At 35.2% G+C, this 27,463-nt stretch overlaps 1 protein-coding gene across 12 annotated transcripts in view, besides 1 other annotated feature; it reads right to left on the bottom strand.

Annotated features, from left to right (window-relative positions):
- EXOC6 (exocyst complex component 6) overlaps positions 1–27,463 on the bottom strand; it is a 232,660-nt gene that overhangs the window by 107,039 nt on the left and 98,158 nt on the right. For 7 of the 12 annotated variants that reach the window (NM_001013848.4, NM_001319194.2, XM_017016348.2 and 4 more), the window contains 7 exons: positions 24,030–24,113; positions 18,262–18,308; positions 18,022–18,142; positions 16,567–16,638; positions 11,628–11,725; positions 4,073–4,178; positions 70–179 (listed from right to left, as the gene is read on the bottom strand). In NM_001013848.4, the coding sequence (NP_001013870.1) occupies positions 70–179; positions 4,073–4,178; positions 11,628–11,725; positions 16,567–16,638; positions 18,022–18,142; positions 18,262–18,308; positions 24,030–24,113 (638 nt within the window). The remainder of the gene's footprint in view (positions 1–69; positions 180–4,072; positions 4,179–11,627; positions 11,726–16,566; positions 16,639–18,021; positions 18,143–18,261; positions 18,309–24,029; positions 24,114–27,463) is intronic. The other 5 variants (XM_017016344.3, XM_047425369.1, XM_017016346.3 and 2 more) reach the window with 2 other exon arrangements.
- Positions 24,606–24,900: a silencer, noted in NCBI's record as "tiled region #15544; HepG2 Repressive non-DNase unmatched - State 23:Low". NCBI's record gives its function as "represses a minimal TATA promoter and a strong SV40 promoter by Sharpr-MPRA in HepG2 cells {active_cell/tissue: HepG2}" and the evidence as "EXISTENCE:reporter gene assay evidence [ECO:0000049][PMID:27701403]".

Below are 27,463 nucleotides of genomic sequence, written 5' to 3'. Positions count from 1 at the left end.
GCATAAAAATAAAGTATTAATGTTTCATAAAAGTTATGACAAAAATGCATTTGTGATTAGTAAACTCACCTCCGGTGTAGTGACTCTGAAAATTTAAGGCTGGCATAAATAAATTCTTTAACTTGAATGTAAATATGAGGCACTGACTGAGACATGGGGAATTTCTTTGGGAAAGACTGCTGTAGAAAAAGAAAGTTAATATTGTTTTTGAAATTTTAGAAAAAGACATGCTAATCACTAAAAAATGTAAAATTAAATTGATTTCACACTTGAATAGCAAATACCTGCATCAAAAACTCTGTTATATTTCTACATTTTTGATATTTTATCAAAATATTTCTGAAGAAAATAATGTGGCAATTTACCCTTGTTTCTTAAATCATATTATCAGACTTCCAACAAGCAGAGAAAACACATACCAATACCTCTGGTGTATTCTGATGATGAGTATTCTGGTGATGAGTATTCTGTCTGTAGGCAATGCCTAGGCTGTCTGCTTCTTTGTGTATTTATCATACAAGAGTCAGGGTGGCCATGAAAATTATAGGCCAGCTTTCTGGCTCAGAGTCATTAAATAATTCTAAGACTCCCTTCATTTACCTTCAGTGAAGGCTTGATGCCAATTCAAGAAGTTATCGAGTTTATTCCGTAACTCCTAGAATACCTTATAGCAGGTTTCTGACCTCCATGCCATTAAACACTGGTATGCAGCCAATGGCTTACAGGGTCCTTCCTGGCTAAACTACTTTGTAAGTCATTATGCATTTGAAATTCTCAGTCTCTAAAAGGTAAACTCCTTCCAAGATTGTTATTAAAAAAACCCTCTTTTCTATTTCAGTAAGTCTAATATACCCTTCTATCTTCACCTTCATTGCAACCTTGTTATATCGGTGAAAGTACCATCACCAAGATCACCAGTGATCTCACAGTTGTTCAATCCAGTGGTTTCTTCAGCTCTCATGTTACCTGACTTTTTTGAAAAATCTGACACAGTTGACCCACTCCTACTTCATAAATGATCTCTCCTTCCTTGGATTCCTGCCCACACTGGTTTTCCTCCTTTTTCTCTACCTACTCTATTTCTTTTCCTCTAGCCATTACTTAATTATTGCTGTGCTTTAGGGTTCTGTCCTAAACCCTCTCTTTCTACTACATATACTTTTCTTGGATGATCTCATATGGTCTTATGACTTCAATCACCATACAAGTACCAATATCTCCAAATCTACAACTCCAGATCAAATCTTTCTCTTAAGTCCAAATTCATGTATCTACCCATTGGACAGCTCCATTTGGCTGTACCATTGAGATGAGTTACTCAATAGATCCAAAAGTGAAATTATCATCTTTTTCTTCTAAATTTGCTCCTTTTCTGTTTCTTATCACAGTGAATGCTGCCACCATCCAAGGTGGAAACTTGGTTATCTTACTTGACCCCTTTATCTCCGTTACCCCTCATATGCACATAATCAGCAACTCCTGTTGCTCCTACCTCCTAAGCATCTCAAATCAGCTTCAATGACCATAACCCCCATTCAGGTTACATAACCCTCTTCTCTCATCAAGATAAATGCAAAAATCTACTAGGTGGTCTCCCTGCCACCAGTCTTACTCTTTTCCAATCCATTCTCCACATATAGGTCTTCCTAAAGCACAAATCTGGTTATGTTTTTACCACTTAAAATTCTTTCATGGCTTCCCATAACCCTCAGGAAAAAGGATAAACTCTTTAACACTGTTTAGTAGGGCCATTATGGTCTGGTCCTTTCTACTTCTCCAATTTACATCTCTTGAGCTTCATCTCTTGTACTTCATCTACTTTGACCTTTATGCAGCCTTTCTGCATGGTGCATCCCCTATCTTAAGCAATGCAAACTTCTGTGAATTATAATTTCTTATTTATTTTATCTATCCTCACTTGACTATAAGCTCCTTAACACCAAAGACTGAAAATCTAGCACATAGCACTGTTTCTGGTATATAGTAGGTATATGAAAAATATTTGAAATTATTTTAATGATATTAAAGGCAGAATATAAATATGTTCTTATTTTGGCCAAATGATTCTAATAAAATTAACATAGCTATCTACAAAAACATTTTTGCATGTATGTTTACTATTACTCCTCCATTCATAATTTATGTTGAAAATAACTCAAGTTATTTGATAGTTTTATATATTTTCTAATAGTTTTAATTGAAAATTATACTTAAACTAGGAAAAAATATACACACACAACCAAAAGACTTTATTAAATAATTTATGAGATTTATTTTTCAGTTGTCATATTTTAATTTTCCATGTGACTTTAACTATTAACAGTTCTTCTTTTTAATAATGAGTAATACATAGACCAATGAATACAACTTCTAAGAACTTAAGAGGTACTGCATATATTAGAAATGCTCTGCAAGCAAAGTTAAATTTCCTTTTAATTATAAACCTATTATGATTGGAAGGGATATTAGAGATTACTGAGTTCAAACTCCTCATTTGACAGATGAGGCACAAATGCCCACACAGGCTCAGTCATTTGCCTATAATAAGCCACAAGCAGCCAGGTACAGTGGCTCACGCCTGTAATCCCAGCACTTTGTGTGGCTGAAGCAGGCAGATCATCTGAGGTCAGGAGTTCGAGACCAGCCTGACCTACACGGTGAAACCCTGTCTCTACTAAAAAAAATTACAAAATTAGCTGGGCATGGTGGCGCATGCCTGTAATCCCAGCTACTTGGGAGGCTGAGGCAGGAGAATCACTTGAACCCAGGAGGCAGAGGTTGCAGTAAGCCGAGATGGCACCATTGCACTCCAGCCTGGGCAACAAGAGCAAAACTCCGTCTCAAAAAAAAAAAAAAAGCCACAAGCAGAGCTAGCACATGAATCTAGACCTAGTCTAGTGCTCTTTATATAGACACTAGCCTGAACAAACTCATTACCAGTAACTAAAAAAAAAAAAAACTAAGCCATGAGATAGAGAATATTCTGGTGATATTTCTTGACAGAACAACTTTCATTGGGCTTTCAAAAAATACAGAATTAGAATAATTATTCTGGCCTCTTGTATTAAAACATAGCTAATAGGTATATGCAATGGCGGCATTAGCTACAATCTAGAAGCTATCCATTTAATTACCTGGTTCTGTATTTAGTGACTAGTACACATAATATGCTTAGTTTATGTATAAAAATACAACAAAAATTTACAGTCATGATTCACTCAGAATTTGGTCTTGCTCATGCTGAAGTGATAAAAATGTAGAAAGGTACTGAATTACAAAAAGTTGGGAAAATAATAAAGAAGAGTAAGGAGAAAAAAACAAGAATAAAGAGAATACAAAAGTGACAGTTACAGTTAAAATGACATCCTTTTCTAATGAGATCTAATTCTACTCAAAGATATTGGGTAGGTACAAGGGTGCATGTTTGCACGTATATATGCACATACACATGGATTCATGTGCATTCTGAGAATCTCCTACATGGCTGGTCTACTTCCTTTCTCTACCCTGTGTTTTGTTATCTTGACTCCAAACATAAATATTCCTACTTCAGGAAGAAATCTACAGGTAGCTATTGCCTTCACATATCACTTATTTAACCAATATAAACTTTTTGTAAAAGTGTACTTCTTTTAAATCTTCCACAGTGATAAACAATTCAAAGAAATTCTTGTCTCTTTCACTAGGATATACTCTTATTACTATAAATCTACTTTTCATTTGGAATCCACCCAACATTAGTAACACCTCTCCTAGGAATCCACCTAACATTTGGGGCAACTACTTCTAGTAGGCCCAGGAAAGTCTCTTCTTAACGTCATCGAAATCTCAGTAGTAGTAGTAGTAGTAGTAGTAGTAGTAGTAGTAGTAGTAGTAGTGGTAGTAGTAGTAGTAGTAATAACATACTCTTTAAAACTTCACAGAACATAGTTAGTTTTCTCAATACAACAAAAAGTTGCCCCTCAAGAAACCACTGTTATTTACAGTCTCAGCTTAATATTTAATATTATGTAGTAACAAATACTATGAATTTATTTTTAAGAAAATCCTTGAATTAAAAACTAGCTTGTACCTTTTCAAGGTCTGGATCTTGAAAGGGAAATTTGCTGATGACAATTTTATATTCTTCTTCATTGACAACAGGGATGGGGCTGTAATTATCTTCTTCAAAAATGTCCCTGTTAGGAAAGGAAAATTGAAAACTTATCATTACAAAGCATATTATTAGAGTACTAAAAGACAATACCTTAAAAAACCCCAACTATTACAAAAGCAGTTTTTACTTGTCTATTAAAGGTCCAAACAGGAAGATACTGCCTAAGCATCCAGAATTCTAAAATTCAACAACAAATAGGTCTTGTCCCTCAAAATCCAGGTACAATCTCCTTTTTCCACTAGCTTGTTTTACAACCTCTCAGCACTTTAGTTTTCCATTCTAGAATAATTCTCAAGGTGATATATTCTGAACAAGCTCATTATCTGTAACTAAAAAAGGATCCACGTAATGGAAAGTATTCCTGTCATAATTCTTTCTATTTTTTCTTTTTTGAGACAGAGTCTCGCTCTGTCACCCAGGCTGGAGTGCAGTGGTGTGATCTCGGCTCACTGCAACCTCCATCTCCCAGGTTCAAGTGATTCTGCTGCCTCAGCCTCCCAAGTAGCTGGACTACAGGCGCGTGCCACCACGCCTGGCTAATTTTATTTTTAGTAAAGAAGGGGTTTCACCGTGTTAGCCAGGATGGTCTCGATCTCCTGACCTCATGATCTGCCTGCCTCGGCCTCCTAAAGTGCTGAGATTACAGGCGTGAGCCACTGTGCCCAGCCTCCTGTCATAATTCTTGATAGGAATAATTCTCAAGCTGTGTATCTTGTGTCTTCTCTTTTCCCAATGAGATTATAAACTCTTGAAGATCAAAACAATGTGTTACATTTGCTTAGCCTCTCATAATGTCATGATTAGAAATGGATCTTTTATAGTTGGTGACGCAGAAACAGTTACTACTCATCAAATATCCATGTGCTCTTCTGTACACCCCCTTGCAGTTAGGCAGGGCCATATGACTAGTTTTGGCCATTGGGCTGTGAATGGAAGTGACATGTGTTGCTTTGAGTTTAAAGCCTTTATGAGCCAATTGTGCAAACCTCCTTCCCATGGTGACAAGGAAGACAACACGTTGAAAAGTTAGAATCACAAATGCAAATAGCTTGTATCTCTGACTAGGAAACCTATCGTGGGTTTCTGTGTGAGTGAGGAATAAAACATGTTCATCCACTGATATTTGGGGAATTTTTGTTGCTGTAGCATAACCTAGGCTGTCCTAACGTAACTGTCATCCAATCATTGATTTCCTTTTAATTAAATAATTTTGATTAATATTTATTGAGCACCTATTATGTGCTAGGCTCTGGGCTGTGATGACAATTCCCTACCTCATGACAATAAACACAAGAAATCTAATAGGAGAGATAGATACACAAACAAATTATAACATCTATAATGTTGTGCTATACATACAATACAAGAAGTACAAGGTTCAGAAACAGGACAAAGAAGGAAGTGACTATCAGAGTACGTGAAGAACATCTCATGGAAAGTTAGACAGAGAAGTGAGTAGTCCTGTAGGGTCTTTACAGATGAAAAAAATTTCTAAAGAGATTATGGGAGAAAAGCATTCTAGACCACTGGAATATATACGCAAAGGCACAAGGAGTGAGCGTTAGTGTGTGGGGGGGTGTAAAACCACAAGTAGTGCAGTATTACAAAGTATAAAGTCTGAGGGACATGGTGAAAAATGAGATTGGACAGGTGTGCAAACAGACATCCAGATTTCACTCTGTAGGCATTAAAAGGTTTTAGGAAAGGGAATGTCATAGGAAGATATTCACTGTGTGAAGGATAAACTGGAAAAAGCCTAATAATGAACACAGAGAGATCACTTAGAAAAACTGAAGAATAATCTAAATAAAAGGTGACGAGGATCTGAATTAAAGCTGCAACAGTAGGGGTAGAAAGGAAGTAGCATAAATGAAAGCTTTACTTTTTTTAATTTTTTTTTTTAAGACAGGGTCTCACTCTGTCGCCCAGGCTGGAGTGCGGTGGTGCAATTTCGGCTCACTGCAGCCTCAGCCTCCCGGGTTCAAGCGATTCTTTTTTTTGAGACGGAGTCTAGCTCTGTCACCCAGGCTGGAGTGCAGTGGCGCAATCTTGGCTCACTGCAAGCTCCGCCTCCCGGGTTCACGCCATTCTCCTGCCTCAGCCTCCTGAGCAGCTGGGACTACAGGCGCCGGCCACCACGCCCAGCTAATTTTTTTTTTTTGTTTTTTTAGTAGAGACGGGGTTCCACTGTGTTAGCCAGGATGGTCTCAATCTCCTGACCTGGTGATCCACCCACCTTGGCCTCCCAAAGTGCTGGGATTACTGGCGTGAGCCACCGTGCCCGGCCTCAAGCGATTCTTACACCTTAGCCTCCTGAGTAGCTGGGACTACAGGGTGTGCGCCACTAATCAACCACACCCAGCTCTACCAAAAAATACAAAAATTACTTTTTTGGTATTTACTTTCACTAATTCTATTTCATTCTACATAGAGTTTAAAAATAAAGTAAAACGTTAAAAGGCAGGGCTAAATGAGGTGGCTCACACCTGTAATCTTTGGGAGGCTGACGCAGGCAGAACACTTGAGGCCAGCCTGGGCAACACAGCGAAATGCTGTCTCTGTTTTAAAAATAAAAATAAAAATGATGAAAGGTTAAAAGGCAAGTTACAGGGAAAGTAACTACTAGAAGACAATAAACTACTAACTTTATACAAATGCCAGGGAACCAGTTACTATGGAAGAAGAGATAATTTAACGAAAGGCACATTTATATTCTAAGAATGTTAATGTAGTCTTAATATGATCTGTTTATAGAACCAAATTCTATAAACGTGTATAAGTTCCTACTCTGTCAGGCACTATACTAGGGCTAGGCAATCAAGAATATAAATAGCTCCATGGCATTGGTCTAGATAATGATTTTTAAAAATATAACCCCAAAAGCACAGGCAACAAAAGCCATAGTAGACAAATAAACTGGATCAAACTAAAAAGCTTCTGCACAGCAAGGAAACAACAGAATGAAGAGGCAAGTTACAGACTGGGAGAAAATATTTGCTGATATATATCTGATACATATAATAAGGAGTTAGTATCCAAAATACATAAGGAACTCAACTCAATAGAAGAAAACAAATAACTGAATTAAAAAGTGGGCAAAGGACCTGAATAGATATTTATCAAAAGAAGACACAAAAATGTCCAACAGGTATACAGATCAGGAATAAGCAAAGCTTAACATCACTAATCATCAGGGAAATCCAAATTAAAAATACAACAAGGCTGGCCAGGCACAGTGGCTCGCACCTGTAATCCCAGCACTTTGGGAGGCGGAAGCAGGCAGATCACCTGAGGTCGGGAGTTCGAGACCAGCCTGACCAACATACAGAAACCCCATCTCTACTAAAAATACAAAATTAGACGGACGTGGTGGTGCAGGCCTGTAATCCCAGCTACTCGGAAGGCTGAGGCAGGAGAATCACTTGAACCTGGGAGGCAGAGGTTGCAGTGAGCTGAGATTGCACCATTGCACTCCAGCCTGAGCGACAAGAGCGAAACTCTGTCTCAAAAAAAAAAAAAAAATACAACGAGGTATCACCTCACAGCTGTGAGAATGGCCATTATCTAACAGACACAAGATAAGTGTTGGTGAGGATGTGGAGAAAGGGAACCTTTGCACGCTGTTGGTGGCAATGTAAATTAATATATCCATTATGGAAAACAGGATGGAGGTTCCTCAAAAAACTAAAAATAGAACTACTATATGATCCCAGCAATCTCATTTCTGGGTGCATAACCAAAAGAATTAAAATCAGTATCAAGCCAGGCACAGTGGCTCACATCTGTAATCCTAGCACTTTGGGAGGCCAAGGCAGGCGGATCACTTGAGGTCAGAGTTTGAAACCAGGCTGGCCAAGATGGTGAAACCCTGTCTCTACTAAAAATACAAAAATTAGTGGGGCATGGTGGTGCACACCTGTAATCCCAACTACTTGGGAGGCTGAGGCAGGAGACTCACTTGAACTTGGGAGGCGAAGGTTGCCATGAGCCAAGATCACGCTGCTGCACTCCAGCCTGGGTGATAGAGCAAAGACTCTGTCTCAAAAAAAATAATAAAAATTAAAAAAAAAAGATCGGTATCTCAAAGAGTTATCTGCATTCCCATGTTCACTGCAGAATTATTCACAATAGCCAAAATACGGAATCGACCTTTGAATGGATTAAAAAAAAGTGCATATACACAATGGAATACTATTCAGCCCTATAAAAGAGGGAAATTCTGTCATTTGCAACAACAAGGATGAACCTTGAGGACATTATGCTAAGTGACATAAGCTAGGCACAGAAGTCAAATACTGCATAATCTCACTTATATGAGGAATCTAAAACAGTCACACTCACAGAAGTAGAGAGAAGCCTGATTTCTGATTTATAGGTTACCAGAGGGTAGGGCGATCAGAAAGTGGCGTAGGCAGGGTAGGGAGATGCCAAGATGTTTGTCAAAGAGTACAGTTTCAGTCAGACAGGAGAAATAGGTTTTTGAGATCTATTCCACAGCAAGGTGACTACGGTTAATAATAATGTAACATATATTTCAAATTGCCAACAGTAGATTTTAAATGTTTGCACCACTAAAAAAAAAAAATAAGTACGTGAGGTGATGGATATGTTAATTTGCTTGATTTAATCATTCCATAATGTATACAATATACCAAAACATCAAACTGTACCTCATAAATCTATAAAATTATTGTCAATTAAAAACTAAATAAAAGCACATGTATCCAAAAATAATACAAAAATAAAACAGGGCTCATAATATAGTGAGAGAGAGCTGCATACAGATAAAATGTAACAGTAGTCAGGTTATAAATTCTATCATGGAAGTAGTCAAGTTTTGAATATCATTCAGTATTGATAATTTTTCTTTTTCCCCCATTTAATTGTTAGGTTGTCAATTCACTATTTATAAAATATTTAAGGATACGGGTCAGAGGTAAGCAAAGCTTAAGTTGTGCTACTTCTTAAAAATTTAGGTGGCCAGGAGGGGTGGCTCACGCCTGTAATCCCAGCACTTTAGGAGGCCAAGGCGGGTACATCACAAGGTCAGGAGATCGAGACCATCCTGGCTAACACGGCGAAACACCATTTCTACTAAAAGTACAAAAAATTAGCCGGGCGTGGTGGTGGGCGCCTGTAGTCCCAGCTACTAGGGAGGCTGAGGCAGAATGGCGTGAACCCAGGAAGCGGAGATTGCAGTGAGCCGAGGTCACGCCACTGCACTCCAGCACAGGTGACAGTGCAAGACTCCGTCTCAAAAAAAAAAAAAAATTAGGCAAAAAGCATGATCTGGAAGAGTATTAAAAGCAGAAGTCAAAATATATTTGGAAATTTTGTGTTAAAATTGACATGCTATCATTTGTTCTCCTCCACTATTACTTTGGAGGATAAAATTAATCCTATCTCTATGTGAATGAAGCCATTAGCTTCCCAGACAGAAAACAATACCTCATGGTTTCCCCAGTCTTGAGGAACAATCTTAGTACTAGAAGTCTTAAGACAGGTAAGAGAGAATAGCTGGCCCAATACAATCTATCGACAGTTATGAAAACATAAACACCCTTCTGAAGAGGCCAGTTAAATAACATCAAGTCTATAAGATTTTATAACTATAAAAATATCATATTACATCATATTATACATTATATCATAGCATATATGTTCTAGATTACCATCTTTATCAATAAATGCTACCTTTATTTTTAAAATAGTTAATAAAAATAATTGTTGATAGTTCCATATGACTCATCAGGACTGTCAATTATCCATCTGGGATAGCATCCTGATAATATCACTCCTGAAGAATGTAAATACCAAAAACTCAAATAAGGATTTGTTTAGTTGATTTTACTAGATGTGTATCACCTTATGAGCCACTTAGGCACTAAAAAATATTTTTTAAGAGCACAGTCTTGCCCTTTTGTGCAGGCTGGAGTGCAGTGGTGTGTTTATAGCTCACTGCAGCCTCAAACACCTGGGCTCAAGTAATCCTCCTGCCTCAACCTCCCAAGTAGCTGGGATTACAGGTGCACAACACAATGCCCAGCTAATTTTTTTATTTTTTATTTGTAGAGACAAGGTCTTACTATGTTGTCCAGGCTGGTCTCAAACTCCTGGCCTCAAGAGATCCTCCCATCTTGGCCTCCCAAAGTGCTGGGATTACAGGCATAAGCCACCTCACCCTGTTCGAAAATTTCTATTACAGTATTTAGAAGGTCAATCTCCATAGTTTTGAAAGTTGATGGGATAAGTGCTAAGCTGGTATTAAATCATCTAACGTACTTTTATTTTAATATCATCAAATATTGACACATTACTTCTATCATATTTTGGGTAAACAAGATGTAAAACCTCAAGATTGACTTTTTCTTCCTGAAAGGGAGAAGGATGGAGAGAAAGAGACAAAAAGAAAAAGAAAGAAAGAAGGGAGGGAGGAAAACTTTTAGTAATTCAAGTGTGGGGGCATATTTCTCTTCTCATGTCACTAAAAAGTTACACAGATATTAAAATACTTTTGTCCATGGCCTGCAGATAAGTGGTTAAAGCAAAAGTAATTTTCTCGTTTAGATTCTTTAAGATTCTTAATCTAGTTATTTTATTTGTAAAAACAGCACTTGCCCAAAACAAAATTTAAAAGCTGTAAATTTCTGTCTCTAATACAAAATATCTTTGAATACTTATAGTCTTATAAGTATTTAATCATTTACTAGGAAAAATTTACAGATATTAGAACTACAAGCAAGTATAATTAAAAACTGATTATAAATGTTACAGCCACTATGGAAACAGTATGGTAGTTCCTCAAAAAATTAAAGATATATTTACATATGATCCAGCATTTCACTTCTGGGTATAAACCCAAAAGATTTGAAAGCAGAGACTCAAACAGATATATGTATACTGTACTCACGTTCACAGCAGCATTATTCACAATAGTCAAAAGGTGGAAGGAACCTAAATGTCCATCAACAGATGAACTGATAAACAAAATGTGGTATATAAAGACAATGGAATATTAGTCAGCCTTAAAAAGGAATGAAATTCTGACATGCTACAATATGGATGAACCTTGAAGACACTGTGTTAAGTGAAATGATCCAGACACAAAAGAACAAACATATCTGATTCCACTTACATGAGGTACCTAGAGCAGTCAAATTTTAGAGACAAAGCAAGAGTGGTGGTTGCCAGAGGCTGGGGGAAGGGGGAAATGGAGAGTTATTGTTAAGTGAGTACAGAGTTTCTATTTGGGAAGATGAAAACGTTCTGGAAATGGATGGTGGTGACAGTTGCAACAATTTGACTGTACACCACTGAACTACACACTTGAAAATGGCTAAGATGGTAAATTCTATGTGTACTTTACTACAATAAAAATGATTATAAGCATTTTTATTAATATATGCAAATGAACCACTTGAGCATTTGACAAACATATTCATTATATTAAGGCACCATGACTTAGACTAACCTGAAAACTCCAGCCCATTTCTTAAGCAGTGTTTCATTGTATTGGTCTCTTATTTCAAATAAAAGGTCAAAAAGTCGGTTCACTGGAAAACCATAACCCTAAAATACAAAAAAAAAAAAAAGCAGATAAACAAGTGTACAAAAATATTCATTAAAAATGTTGGGAATACTAGAGAATCATTTGGAAGGAATCACTAGATCCCATTGCATGCCATTCTCACAGTAAGAAAAAAAAGATACATTTTGACTTTCTACTACATTGCATTCGGTAAAAAAAGAGGTTCAGAAAGAGTTTTATGAGAATAGAATGGTTTTTCCATTTCTTCTCTCTCTTTTTAGTAATGATTACAGTGTTAGCCTTAAAAAGTATTAGAAGTCAGAGCTGGAGGAAAAAATTCAAGATAAGTTTTTACATAACAGTGTCTTGGGAAGTGGTGCCCAAGGATACAAGAAGAAAAGGGAATGGATTCTGTCTGAGACAGGCTGGCTTCCTTTTGCACCTTCAATTTAAGACTCAGTTTGTCACATTGGGAAAATTTATATCTTTCCATTAAACATTCACACTTCCGAATTTTATTCTTTCCGACTCCAAACTCATTGAAATCTTACCCATATCGGGACCAAACATTCTCTCTCACCTCACAGAATTCTCCACTTGTCTCTCCAAGGTTTCTCTCTCCATCTTTGTTCTTGAGCCTATCTCCTTCCACATAAACCATTCCATGGGTTAACTTCTTACTCTATTATGTCTTTAACTTCCACAGGCACCTTTCTCTTGGCTAAATAAACATGCTAAATTGTTTCCCATCTTTAAGCCAAGAAAAACAAGAGACCAAAACAGCTCTCCCTCAATTTTCTGTAGCCTGTCAGCTGCCTCTGTCACTCCCTTCAAAGTCAAACGTACTACAATCTCTCACTTCTATTCCTTTATTTAAACTACTCAACAATGTCACAGACTATCTCCTAAATATCAAATTCAATGATCTCACTCTACCTGACATCTCTTTCTTGAAATTCCTCTGCTTTGAATTCTATAACACCAATCACTCTTCTTGTTCTCCATCTATGAACAATCCTTCCAGTTTCCTTGTGTAACTTCTATCTCTAACCTTTAGTCTTTTCTTCTAGCTCGCTAGGGCAATCTCAAGTCTAATGATTTCAACCTCTGATGATTACTTCAAATCTGCATCTCTAGCTAGGCCTCTCTAAATTCCAAATATTTAATTCCAACACGTGTTTCATCTCCAGTCATTCAGCCAGCAAGTACATTAAACTCACTTCCTCTCTCCAATGAAATCAAGTATTCCTCTTATTTCCTATCCATAATAATAATGCTATCATCAACCTAGTTTATCAACAGAGAATCTAGAAAACCATCTAAACACCCCACCCCTGCCACACACACATACACACACACACTGAGTAGTCACCAAATTCTTCTGATTTTTACCTTTTACAAATCAAATCTATCATTCTCCATCATCTACCCATCTTTCTTTCTTCCAGAAATATTCTTAGTGCCACTGCTTTATCTCAGGTCCTTAATATCTCTTACCTAGACCATTGTAAAAGCTTCCTAAACTAAAATTTCAACCATCTCTATTTCCCAGATTCTCAAAATTTCATTCAAAAATATAAATCTGATTGTGCCATTCCCCTGCCTAAAAACTACAAAATGCTTACTGAAGTCCCACAAGATGTCCCATAATCTGGGTCAAACCACCTCATCAGTTTAATCACCACTATTTGCCCTTCCTTGTTCACAGCGCTATTCTACAGTTTCTAATACCATCAAGCTGCTCAGTTTCACTTTCACCACACCATGCTTTTATCTATAGTTTACACATGCTATTTTTCTTCCATTAATGCCCTTTCCTTCTTACCTATTTGCTGAACTCATCCTTCAAAACCCAGCTCAAATTTCAACTTTCTGTATAGCCTTCCTCAACTCCTAGAATCTAAGTTAGTTATTCCACCTTCTGCAAGCCCAAAGCTAACATATTGCTTGCTGCATTAGGATGCCTTATTAAACATTTTATTCGTTTACAAGTAAGTAAACTGTGAATTTCTTGAAGCCAAGGACTTTTACGTCCCTACTGTCTTACTGACTTTTATGTCTCTACTATTGTATACATCAACTAGTCTGCCAACATGTATTGGGTACTCAAAAAATGTTAATAAAGGAATCAATAAATGTTTACTTGTTATTTGCCTAATAGGCAGTAAGGAATATAAATATGCTGGTATTACTTTTTCACTTTATTGTTTAGTCAGCTTTGTTTTAGAAGATAAAATACTAGCATTTTAAAAAGCAAAATTTCCTTAGGGTGGCAAGGGCTGATTTAAAAAACTAAGTATTATGTAACATTCTTTAATTAGTTTTCATGAAAAGACACTTACCAGTTCTTCAATTAATAGTTATAAATTTAAAAGCTGGCAATCATTAATTCAGTATAAGATAGACCTAATACTCAGTCTGTCAGCTTTGAGTGAAATGAAAATACTGTAGAAACTGAAAAAGTAGGAAGGACTGGTTTGACTTCTCCAGTCATATTTCAAAGCAATAATATGAGAAAGGTATCCTTGCAAGGGTTTATGTAACTATCATTGTTGCTTTTACAGTGCCAATATTACCTAAATATTATCTTTGACTTTTCTTTGATTCTCTGGAGAATTCCTTGGTACCATATCAAATACTGTAGATTCAGCTGTACTCAAAGTCCAGTCCAATAACTATTTATTACAGTCTACAAAGAAATAAGGACTTTGCACCAGAATACAAATTGATGCTGCTACCTATATTGAAAAAAAGTCTTGCTTGTAGCAAGATGCCAACTGCACTAAACTTTGTACTTGGGGATATAGTTAATTTACATTCTGAGGAAAGTTCCTTTTTGTTATGGATCTAACAGATAATTTGCAGACTAGTAACAAACAGTTTGCAGACCAGTGGTCCACAGACCACACTTTGAGAAGAAGTGCTTTAAGTCATTAAGTACAGCAAAATTACTATCCAAAATTACTATTACTTTTGCTCTCCATGGCAAAAATCACAATTACTTTTGCACTAACCTAATATCTCAAGCTACTTAGAAATGGGCTCCCAAAATTTGGACAGCCCCAAATAAAACTTCCCAAAAGTTTTCTTGCAGCGAGATCAGTATTATACAGTCATCACAAAATTTATGAAAACAACAACAAAAAATCCCACCTTATCCCGCTGTTAAAATATAAGCCATACAAATTAATATATAATAGACATGAGTGATAAAATAATTTACTAAAGGAGCTTGTGGAATCTTCTCTTTAGGTTTAAGAATAAAGTAGAAAACTATAATTCTAAGATGCAAAGACTCTTGTGATAAAGCAAATAGTTTAAATCAGGATTTCCCAAAGCATATTATATAAAGTTCTAGATCTAAAAGATGTTCTAAGGGGGAAAAAGATTCAAGGGTCAAATATATTGGGAAAATGCTGCATAATCATCTTCTTTTTGGGAACTTATGGGTATAAATTTGCTCTCAGAAAAGTTTTCAGTGGAGAAATATGTTTTACTTTTGGACCACGGGACACTTTTTTTAAGTAACAGCTCTTATCACACTTTGGAAAATGCTAGTCTGTACTTCATGAAAAGTTACTTCTAACCATAAAATCCCATAAATTTACACAGGAAAAGAAAATGCAATCAATTCTTTATTATCTGTGATCAAGGAGGAAGGACAAGCTAGAAATCTCAAAACTTTGATACTGAAAATCACAAAAATATTGAGTTCTGAAATAATTTAGTTTTAATCTTATTTTTTATATTACTTTCAACATCTCAGGGGGTGACATTGTTCCTAATATCCAGGGGGGAATAGGATGATATTACTCCCAATATCGCAGAGGGTGTACACCCCACCTGTGATATTGTTCCAAATATCCAGGATGGGAGAGGATAATATTACTCCCAATATCGCAGAGGTTATAAACCCCCCGCTGTGATATTTTTCCTAATATCGAGGAGGGAGAGAATAATATTACTGTTAATATCACAGAGGGTGTACACACCCCACCCCGTAATATTGTTTCTAATATCCAGGTGGGAGAGGATGATATGACTCCCAATAACGCAGCAGGTGTACAACTTGCCGGTGATATTGCTTTTAATATCCGAAGGGGAGAGGATAATATTACTCCCAATAAAAAGAAAAATCTTATTTTTTTGTTTGTTTCGTGTTTTTTGTTTGTTTTGAGATGGAGTCTCGCTCTGTTGCCCAGGGGAGCGCAGTGGCGCGATCTCGGCTCACTGCAACCTCCACCTCCTGGGTTCAAACAATCCTCCTTATTTTTAAAAAGAGAAAAACAACTCAAAAAAGTAAAGTGATTTGCTCATAGAACACATGGAAAACCAGAAACCAGGAAGAAAATGAACATACAGTTTTCAAATCATGTGTTTTCATACAAAGTATCATATTTAAAACTAAAAACAATTCTGAAATTAGTAATAAACCCATTTTCACAAATAAGGATCTAAAGCTTAAAGAACCTGCAGGCATACAATTAGTCAACAGCACAGGCAGAACAGAAACTCTGGGTCTATGTGATTCTAGAACCCACTTCTCACTGCCCTAAGGCAGAATTTATATCTTCTAATTTCTAGTTCACGGTTCCTTCCATTATACTCTGTATTCTTTTTTTCAACTATAAAAATACTTTATTCTAACTGAATGATCAATATTTTAAAAGATGGTAGCATCCCTGAGTTCTGTCTAAGCTTCATAATTGAAAAGGAAGTGGTATGAATAGTCCTGGGTAATAGCAGAATATCAATATGTAGGTAAACATTTATTACTACTAATTTACTGCCACTAATCTACAATAACATAAATGAGTATAGCCTATATTTTGTATGTTTTTAAGTGATCAGAATAACCATTAATTGTTAGGTTATCACCCACCTGTAAAGTATCTGCAAATATTACAGTAAGATTCTTCAGCTCCAGAACAAGATCAGGATCAGTGCAATAGGACTGAGGGTGGAAACACACAAACAAAACAAAACACCGACAACAACAAACCAGAGTCATATGATTAAAAACTAAGAAATAAGAAATTGATAATGTTTCTTTTAATCTGCCAGACTTATAATAAGTTTAAAATTTTGGTTGGTTAGATTCACAACAGACCTTCTCTATTCAGTATAAACGTTTAGAGGGAGATCATAATATGATACTTATGATGCTTATATTTCAAAAGTTTTTAGATTTTAAGGAACTAGTTATTTAAACTGAAAAAGGTTTATAATAGACTATGTATTTTCACATTTCATCTATTTACTTATTTTCCATCTTATAAAAGAGACACTATGTATTACTTTTTCCAATATAAGAATTACAATTTCATTATTTTCTTAGTAATTAACCAAAAGAAAATTATTAATTTCAAAGGGACAGTGAGATTTACTCTGTCCCTGTCATAGCATTTAATAAGATTTTGAAAGTGATATGCTGTATTTAATATGACTTCATATTTGGTATCATGGAATTAACAGGAAATATACTTTAATTTTATATATTCAGAGCTGATCTGAATATCGACCATGATAAAATGTATTGTTCTTTATTAATATGCTAGGAAAAGTTGTAGTTCATTGGATAGTGTATCAAGAATCTACATTCCTGATAAATAAAAATGCAGCTTATTTATAATCTTAATATCACATAAGCTAACAAACTTTCTTCAATTTTTAAAAATCTCAATGATCAATTATAAAATTATAAATAGACAAAATTTTAAGTATGAAATATATTAATAAAGGTAAACTACTACAACTTTTAAAAAGGCCTACACTGACTAAGTATTGTCTTTATAACACTAACATATTTGTTATTTCCAGAAAAGGCATTAGGAAGATAGCTGATCATTTAATTTTCATCTATAAAAACCTCTCATTACACAAAGGTTCAATATTTCAAATTTTGAAAATCGCAAATTTTAAAGAAATTCATTATTATAGTGTATTACTGTAAATTGTAAACATTGAAGAACAAGTTCTACTGAGTTTTAATGGTGGAGTTTATTTTAGAAACAAAGAATTGAAATGATAATTAAAAACATTTTCTTCATGGTGCTTTTCAGAGATCTAATGAAGAGGTCAGTTGAGACTAATGAGACCTGCTTAATTCTTCATTTTCTATAATGCTAGAATAAAGGTGTTTTGGGAAGCCCCAGTCAGTTGCAAAATCATAGTCTGATATTACCAAACAAAAGCCTGACATTACTACTTCCAAATCTAAGCAACTACTAAAAAAATGCAGAATGATGGAGGTACAGTTTTCCTCTGACATTATGCAGCTCAGAAGTTCTTGAAGTAACTGAATTAAAATTTTAGTAATGTAAATTGTCTGACTTACTGAATGAGCTCTAAGGACAGCAATTATCTTTGAGAGGGCCATGTTCCAAAGTTCATCAGTGTATGCCCTGGTTACTAATCCTTGGGTCACATGTAAAATGTGATCTTCTACCACAAAGAACCTAAAAACAGTAATTACCAAAGCATGTGTTAAAAAAAAAAACCCTAATAGAAAGTAAGTATTTCTGGCATTTAACATAATATAAAATTAATAATAGTTATTTCCATATTAGATACATACCCTACAATTTGAGTGAAATATCTTCTATAGCCATCAACTGTTTCATGCTTAAAATGAAAAATAAAAATCAATTTAAACCAATAAATACTGGTAACATAAAGGTAAGTTCCAAGTCACTACAACTTCATTAACAAATATTTATTGAGAGTCTACTATATGCCACGTACATTTTTAGGTACCAGGGATATATCTGTAAATAACAAAAAGTCCTTACTCTCATGGAACGTACATTCGAAAGGAGATAAACAAGTTAAAAAGGAAATATGATTTCAGAACCCCCTTCTCAGCAGACTAATCAAAGCTGTCATCACCTCTACTTTGACTATGTATTATACCATCCTCCTACATAGTCTCCCCAACTTCCAGCCTGTCCCCTACCAGAATGTCCAGCTGCCAGAATGATATTTTCCAGCCTGTCCAGCTGCCAGAATGATATTTTTCAAATAGTAATCAGATTATATCTTCTGCCAAAACCTTTTATGGTTTTATGATTGCCTATTGTTTATAATTTTAACAAGGCATATAGAAAAATATTTGATCATTTGACTTTCATTCATAAAAAGTTTATTACATGAAATATTTCATATTTCAATTAAGTTCAAATGTTATGTTTTGCAAATTTCATGAATGTGATCAAATTTTCATACATCTGGGGTTTTCTTCAGGTGTTTTGGGGGAAGAATTATTAATACGTTTTAGCTTAGAAATACTGTGATTGGAAAATATAGTCTACATGTCACCAAATGCTTGATATTTCCTGATACTTGCTTTATAGCATAGTATGTAGTCAAATTTTTAATAATGGTCCATGTGTGCTTGAAAAGAATATGTTCCTACAGTTGTTGAAATAGGATTCTATATATTCCATTAGATGAAGCCTATTAAGCATGTTTTGTATTCTTACTGATGTTATGTCTACTTGGTTTAGAAGATACTGACACATATTTTAAAACTCACTATACTTGTGGATTTTTCTATTTCTCCTTGTAGTTGTGGCAGTTTTGCTTTAAATACTTTGAGTCAATGTTATCAAGTGCTTATAGGTTTAGAATTACCATTTTTATCAACTCAAAAGCACACAAATAACAAAAATTTTATTCTTATCATTCTAGCTTTCCCTGTATTATATAAAAGTATATATACCCTGTTTCTATTCCTTCAGTAGTTACTCTGGAAATCACATTACACATCCTTAAGTAACCAAACTCTAAAGCTAGTCAATGTTTTTACTCTTCTGCTGGACGCTTCAAACTGTAGGATAGTTTAATTTCACTAACTTCCATCTCATTCTGATGTTTATGTTACTGTTGTGTATTTTAATTCTATCTTATTTTTTCTTATTGCTGCTGCACAAATTAAAATTCTATGTTGTTTTAATGTCCACAATATTTTACATTATTTCCTACAGTCATTTTAGATTTACCTAAATATTTATACTTTTTTTGCTATTCATTCCTTCTTGCATCTCACATCTTCCCTTTGGCATCACATTCCTTTTGTTTGAAGCATATCCTTAGGATCTCCTTAGTAAGCGTGTCTTAGTGGCCAACTCTGCTCTTCTTTGTCTGAAAATGTCTATCTCTGCCCTTGTTTCACTGGATATAGAATCCTAAGTTGACAGTTACTTTTTTCAGAATTGAAAATATTTTATTGTTTTGTTTACTTGAAAATAACCTCTTTCTGGGTACCTTTAAGATTTTCTGTTTATGTTTGTTTCTAAAGTTAAGTTTATTGAGGTACAATTTACATATAATAAAATTAACCCTTTTTTACATGTAGAGTTCACTGAGTTTTGACAAATGTAGACAGTTGTGTAACCACCAGATAAATAAAAAAATACAACATTTCCATCTCAGAAAGTTTCCTCCTGCTCTTTTGTAGAGAATTATCCTGCCGAACCCATAGCCCTTGGCCACCACTGATCCCATTCTGTCCTAGAGTTTTGTCTTTTCAAAAATGTCATATAACATTACTCATATTATATATAACTTTACTGCATATGAATTTTTTTCACTTAGAATAATACTTTTGAGATTCATCCATATCACTGCATGTATCAATTCCCTTTTAGTGCCGAGTAGTTCCATTATATAAAACATACAATAATTTGTTTATACATATGGATGTACCACAATTTATTCACTAGTTCACAGACATTCAGATGTCTCTAGTTTTTGGTGTTTATAATAAAGCTACTACAAACATTCACATATGAGCCACTGTATAAAGATACATTTTCATTTCTCATGGATAAATACCTAGGAGCAGGACTGCTAGGTCATAGAAGAGTTTGCTCAACATTGTAACAAATTGCCAAACCATTTTCCAAAGTGGCAGTATAATTTTATATCTATCAGAAGTGTATGAGAGTTCCACTTGATTCACATCCTCACCAGCACTTGCTATTATCAATCCTTTCAATTTTAGTCATTCTAGTAAGTATGCAGTGGTATCTTATTGTGGTTTTAATTTGCATTTCCCTGACGAAAAAATTATACTGAGCATCTTCTCATATGCTTATTTGCCATCAGTTTATCTTTGGTAAAATGTCTATTCAAATCTTTTGTCCATTCTCCATCCAGCTTTGTTCCTAGAGCGTGGAATGGACAAAAGATTTGAATAGACATTTTACCAGAGATAAACTGATGGCAAATAAACATGTGAGAAGATGTTCAGTATAGTTTTTCACAATGAATATGCTAATTACTCTGATTTGATCATTACACATTATATATATATGTATCAAAATATCACTCTATGTCCCATAGATATGTACAATTATTATATGTCAACTAAAAAAAATAGCCTGACAGTTGTTCTTATATACACTTAAATTTGTTTCTCAATCATCTATTCTGTTCTATTTTCTGTTTATTCTAGTAAACTCAGTACTACACTAAAAAAAAAAATCTTTTGTCCATTTTTAAATTGGTTTATTGGTCTTCAATTACTGAGTTATACAAGTTCTTTACATATTCTGGATAAAGCCCCTTTTTAGACATGAGTTCTGCAAATATTTTCTCCAAGTCCATATCTTGCCTTTTCCTTTCCTTTTTTTTTTTTTTTTTTTTTTTTCTTCTGAGATGGAGTCTTGCTCTGTCGCCAGGCTGGAGTGCAATGGTACGATCTCAGTTCACTGCAACCTCCACCTCCCAGGTTCAAGCGATTCTCCTGCCTCAGCCTCCCTAGTAGCTGGGACTACAGGCACACGCCACCACTCCCAGCTAATTTTTGTATTTTTAGTAGAGACGGGGTTTCACCATGTTTGCTAGGATGCTCTCGATCTCTTGACCTCATGATCCGCCCGCCTTGGCCTCCCAAAGTGCTGGGATTACAGGCATGAGCCAGCTTTTTCATTTTCTTAACAACACCTTTTGAAAAGCAGAAGTTTTAGATTTTGATGTTCAAATCATCTATTTTTTTTCTTTTATGGCTCATGCTTTATGTAACTCACATAGGAAAATACTATAAATACATTATAGAGTAATAAAGATTTTATCCTTTGTTTTTTCCTAAAAGTTTACAATTTTAACTCTTACATTTAGGTCGATGATCCCCTTTAATTGTTGAAAGAAGTGAGTCAATATTCATTTTTTGCATATGGATCATTTAATTCTCTTGCAGTCAGAGGATAGACTTTGTATGATTTCAAGCTTTTTCTATTTATTATTATTATTATTATTATTTGAGACAGAGTCTCACTCTTGTCACCCAGGCTGGAGTGCAATGGTGCGATGTCGGCTCACTGCAACCTCTGCCTCTCGGGTTCAAGTGATTCTCCTGCCTCAGCCTCCCGAGCAGCTGGGATTACAGGCACGCGCCACTATGCCTGGCTAATTTTTGTATTTTTAGTAGAGATGGGGTTTCACCATGTTGGCCAGGCTGGTCTCAAACTCCTGACCTTAGGTGATCCGCCTGCCTCAGCCTCCCAAAGCGCTGGGATTACAGGCGTGAGCCACTGCACCCAGCCCAGCTTTTTATATTTGTTGATGTTTGTTTCATGGCCCAGAATATGATATTGGTGAATCTTCCATGTGCACATGTAAAGCGTGTGTATTCTTCCATCCGGGGTGGAGTATTCAATAAATGTCAATCAGATCAAGACAGCTGATAATAGTTTTCAGGTCTTCCATTCCTCTTTATCTTTGGTGTTCTGCAATTTAATTATAAAGTTTCTAAGAGTGTATTTCTTTTTATTTAAGGTACCTGGGATTCCTTGGACTTGACTCTGTGGATTTCTATTTCTCATCTGTCCCAGAAAATTCTCAGCCATATGGCATCAAATATTCTTCAGTCTCATTTGCTCTATCCTCTTTCTGAAACTCCAATTAGATATATGTTAGACTTCTCTGTATCCCTCATGTCTCACTTCAGTAATTTTTCCTTCTGTGTCTTTGTGATGCTTACTTCCACATAGTTTCTTCAGATTAACTAAGAGAGAATTCATCAACTGTTAAACCTATTCATAATATTTTTAACTTCAGTTAATATGTATTTAATTTCTAGATATTCTACCTGATATTTCTTCACATCTATTTGGTCATTCTTTATAGTTTCTGTTCCCTATTTATATTAGCAAGCTTGGCTTTTATTTCTTTAAATATACTAAGTAGCACTATTATATACTCTATGGCTAATAATTCAAATATCGAGTCTTTTAGAATCTATTTTTGTTGTTAATATTTCTTACGATTCTCACTCGTTTGGTAATTATTTCTGACTGTGAATTGCTCAGTTTAACTCTGGAATGAAGGTGCAGAGATCTGTATTTGCTTCTGCCAGGCACTTGGAGATAGTATCAGGATGGAAATACTTGAAATGTTGAGCTTGAGATGTCTTTGACTATCCATGTATGATGAATTTGGGTTGCAAACACAAGTGGTAACAAACTGCTTATTATGAATTCTCAGAAGGATTTTTTCTCTCGTTCACTCAGCAAGATTTGAGATAGGTAATTTTCCTTACAGTATTCGCCAGAGGGAACAGAAGGATTTTTAGATGGTTTTATCTCTAGCTCATCCTAATAATGGGGCTTTAAATCCTTTGGAGTCTCAGCTTACAAGGGAGACAATCTCTTATTAGACACCTACTTTGGGTGGGCTCTGGGCTTAGCCCTCTGTACCCAATGTCGTCAAAACTCATGCTTTCCTACTCAGCAGATTCTCCTAGGATAAAAGCTATATTCAGTGTTTCATTAAACCTATCTGCATTTCTGCCTTCATTTGGGTTTTCCTGTTTTGATTGTTTTATAGTCAGATATATTGAGGTATTAGTCACATACAATAAAACTCTTCAATATTCAGCTTCTATGAGTTTTACAAACACATCTACTAATGTAACTATCACCACAACCAATATATAGAACAGTTCCTTATTCACTTAGTTTCTTGTCTTTTTGTTTGTTTGTTTTAAATGTCTATCTAGCATCTTCAGTTGTATTTTCAGTGGGACAATTAATCAAGATACATAATCCACTATGTTGTCAGAAACTATCATTCCCTGATATTTTATATATTTCTTGTTGGTCCTTTTTTTTTTTTTTAAATTCGCTGTCTATCTTTCCTAATAGAATGTAAGCTCATGAGAAAAGGGACTTATCTATTTGGTTCACTGCTGTACCCTTAGCACCTAAACCAATGTTTGGAAATGGTAGGTGTTCAATAAATATTTGTAGTTGAATGAACAGTGATACATGCTTTGAAGAAATTAAAACAGGGTAAGGGGATAAAAAGTGACAACATAACCAATTCAAAATATCGCATACTTACCATATTCGACTGGGGTTGCAATACCAGTCTTGCTTGTTTCTTTCTTTGTTTTCGATAATAGTTTTCAAATGTTTCCTCGTCACCCTAAAATAAAATCAGCAGAGTAATGAAAAATACACATACACACACATACAACTAAAACAGATACTTCTTTACCCCAAGAGTCACTTTAAATTCTCTAACTAGAATGTAAATGTTTAATAGCATTTCATACAGAATGTCAAGAATAAGTTTTGCCATTATAGTTTAAAGATAGTAATTTGTTTGTATCATGACTATTAGGAAGAATAAAGTTATGTTTAAACAATTTGACACCTACCAAACTTATTACTTAGGCTTTATAGATTTTTGATTGACCAAACCAAAATATGGCTATCAGTGAGGGAAGCCCAGTGAAAGATTAGCTTCAAAGCCTAAACTTCTGAGCATGTTATACAAGGCCCTATGTGTAACATGAGCATGTTATACAAGCCCCTGCCTCATCTCTTGCTACTCTTTCACTCTCAATATATCCATATACTGCTCTCTTTTCACTTCCAGGCTTTTGTGCAGGCTATTTCTGAAATAAGTTTCCCAGTTTCCTTTTCCCATATGATTTTTTACTCATCCTTCAGGACTCGCCAGAGATATCACTTCCTTGAGAAAGCTTTCCTTAACTTCTGAAGGCTTGTTATTTTCTGTTCTCTCATAGCAACCTGTACTTCCCTATCATAGCACTTATACCATGCTATAATTTCTTGGTTAGTCTATCTCAGTGTTGTCCAATGGAACTCCCTGTGATGATGAACGTTTACTATGTCTGTGCTGTCTAAAATGGTAGCCCACTAGTCACATGTGGCTATAGAGCATTTGAAATGTGGCCAATCTGAATGAGACACTGACTTTTACATTTAAATTTTAATTATTTTAGTAACTACATATAACTAACAGCTACATTATCCAACAACAGAGATCTATCTTTACTACCTCACTCTATTAGAATATGGTCCACATTCCATCTAGCTCATCACTGTATCCCTATCACTTAGAAGAATGCTTGGCATGCAGAAGGCACTCAATAAATATTAGGTAAGTGAATAACTGAAAAAATAAATTAATTACTATACCTCAATCCCCTCTGTCTTCTTCACTGTTTAAAGAGAACCCATCCAACATCAGAAGGAAAGGTTGAGAACCATTTCCCTAATCATCTAAGGCTCCAAAGTCAAAAGAAAAAAACTACAGGAAAAAAATGTCAAAAGCCACATTTTCACTGAAAAAAAGTCTGATTTTATTTTCTTTATACTTAAGTAGCTACAAAAAACGACTTTTCTTAGTGCTGTCTAAAGTAAACTTAAAATGCAGAAAATATTTTTACCTAGGTATCCTATACGAAACTTTTTCCAATTATTTTATACGCAAACAATTAAAATAATTTCAATAAGCTATAATGTCCCCCACACAGTTTTAATATGGTAACTAATTTTTTTCACCATAATTTTAAATAAATGTAGAGGATATAATGCATTTAAAGATAAAATGGAATTTAAAATAAAACTGCTAAATCCTCATTTAAACATATCCAGCCATCACTCATTTAAAAAAATATGGGGCCGGGCACAGTAGCTCACGCTTTAATCCCCGCAACTTGGGAGGCAAAAGCAGGAGGATCACTTGAGGCCAGGAGTTTGAGACCAGCCTGGGCAACGTGGTGAGACTCCATCTCTACAAAAAATTTAAAAATCAGCAAGGCATGGTGGTACGTGCCTGTAATCCCAACTACTCAAGCGGCTGAGACAAGAGGATCGTTTGAGTTTGGGAGTTCAAGGCTACAGTGAGGTATGATCATACCACTGCACTCCAGTTGGGGCAACAGAGTAAGACCTCATCTCTTTTTTTCTTTCTTTTTTTTTTTATTTTTCTTTTCTCCTCAGATTCCTTTTTACCATGAAACCCCATATCTAAAAAAATATAAAATATACAAATATAGAGAGATACATGAACACATTATTCCTTAACATTTAGAAAGTCTACATTTTTCTTTTGAACTCTTATTTCCAGTCCATTATCCTTACAGAATTTATTCTAACTTAATTTTAAAAAACATTGTCTAATATGATATGTTTTACTCTTATCTTTGAGATTATAAGGCTTTAGGTGTTATGGTGGGTTTTTTTTCTTCTGAGTGAAATTATCATAATCAGTACTAAACTGATGCAAATGGCCTAAGTATATCATACATTTTGATAATGAGTAAACCCAAAAGTACATTTTTATTGGAAATAAATATCTTAATAGAATGAGTGAGACTTTTTTTTCCCCCATTAATAATATACTTTCTGGTTCAAATTCTGACCTGCAGACTTAGGGCATTTGTTTTTTTTTTTTTTTAAAAAGTCCACCCTAAAACCTAAAATCTAATTATCAAAGCCAGTCCTCATGATCAAACTAATAAGTCAAATTGTACTAAGTGTCTCTCAAGAAAAGTCTGACTCCAAGTTTCACTTCAAAAAAAGTAAAGATGAGGCTGAAATCAGAGGATTGCTCAAGGCCAGGAGTTCATGATCAGCCTAGGCAGCATGTCAAGCTATCTCTTTAAAAAAAATTTTTTTTTTAATTAGCCAGGCATAGTGGCATGCACCTGTAGTCCCAGCTACTCAGGAGGCTGAGGCAGGAGGATCACTTGAACCCAGGAATTCAAAGCAGCAGTGAGCTATGATCTCACCACTGCACTCCAGGCTGGACAACAGCAAGACCCCATCTCTTAAACAAAACAAACAAACAATAACAACAAAATTACATCATGAAAACCACTGAGAAATTATGGGTTTACACCATAATATCACCAACGCCAGGTGCATTGGCTCACGCCTGTAATCCCAGCACTTTGGGAGGCCGAGGAGGACGGATCACTTGAGGCCAGGAGTTCGAGACCAACCTGGCCAACATGGTGAAACCCTGTTTTTACTAAAAATACAAAAATTAGCCATATGTGGTAGCACACACCTGTAATCCCAGCTACTTGGGAGACTGAGGCATGATAATTGCTTGAACCTGGGAGGCAGAGGTTGCAGTGAGCCAAGATTACACCACTGCACTCCAGCCTGGGCAACAGAGCACGACTCTGTCTTAAAAAAAAAAAAATTTATGGAATTACAAAAAGCAGTCAATATTATTTAAACCCAGTGTGATTGTTTTGTGCATTCACACCCTTAAAATCAAGACAATAAATCAGTTTCTCATTACTTATTCTGTTTTCATTACTTAATTTACAATAATGCAATGTAATATACAACTAAAATTCTAAGCTTTTATGAAGTAAGGAGCATAATAAACAATACTACATGCCTTCCATTAACATGTGGACATACATAAAACCTGTTCAACTTTTGGAAATAATTAAATACAACCAAGTATAAAAATCAGGGATATAAAAAAGGATAAAATAATATTTT

This window comes from Homo sapiens, chromosome 10 (genome assembly GCF_000001405.40).
Source record: "Homo sapiens chromosome 10, GRCh38.p14 Primary Assembly".
Taxonomy (NCBI): Eukaryota; Metazoa; Chordata; class Mammalia; order Primates; family Hominidae; genus Homo; species Homo sapiens.
The sequence above is the reverse complement of the archived record's forward strand: the minus strand, read 5'-3'. Positions and strand labels throughout refer to the sequence as shown.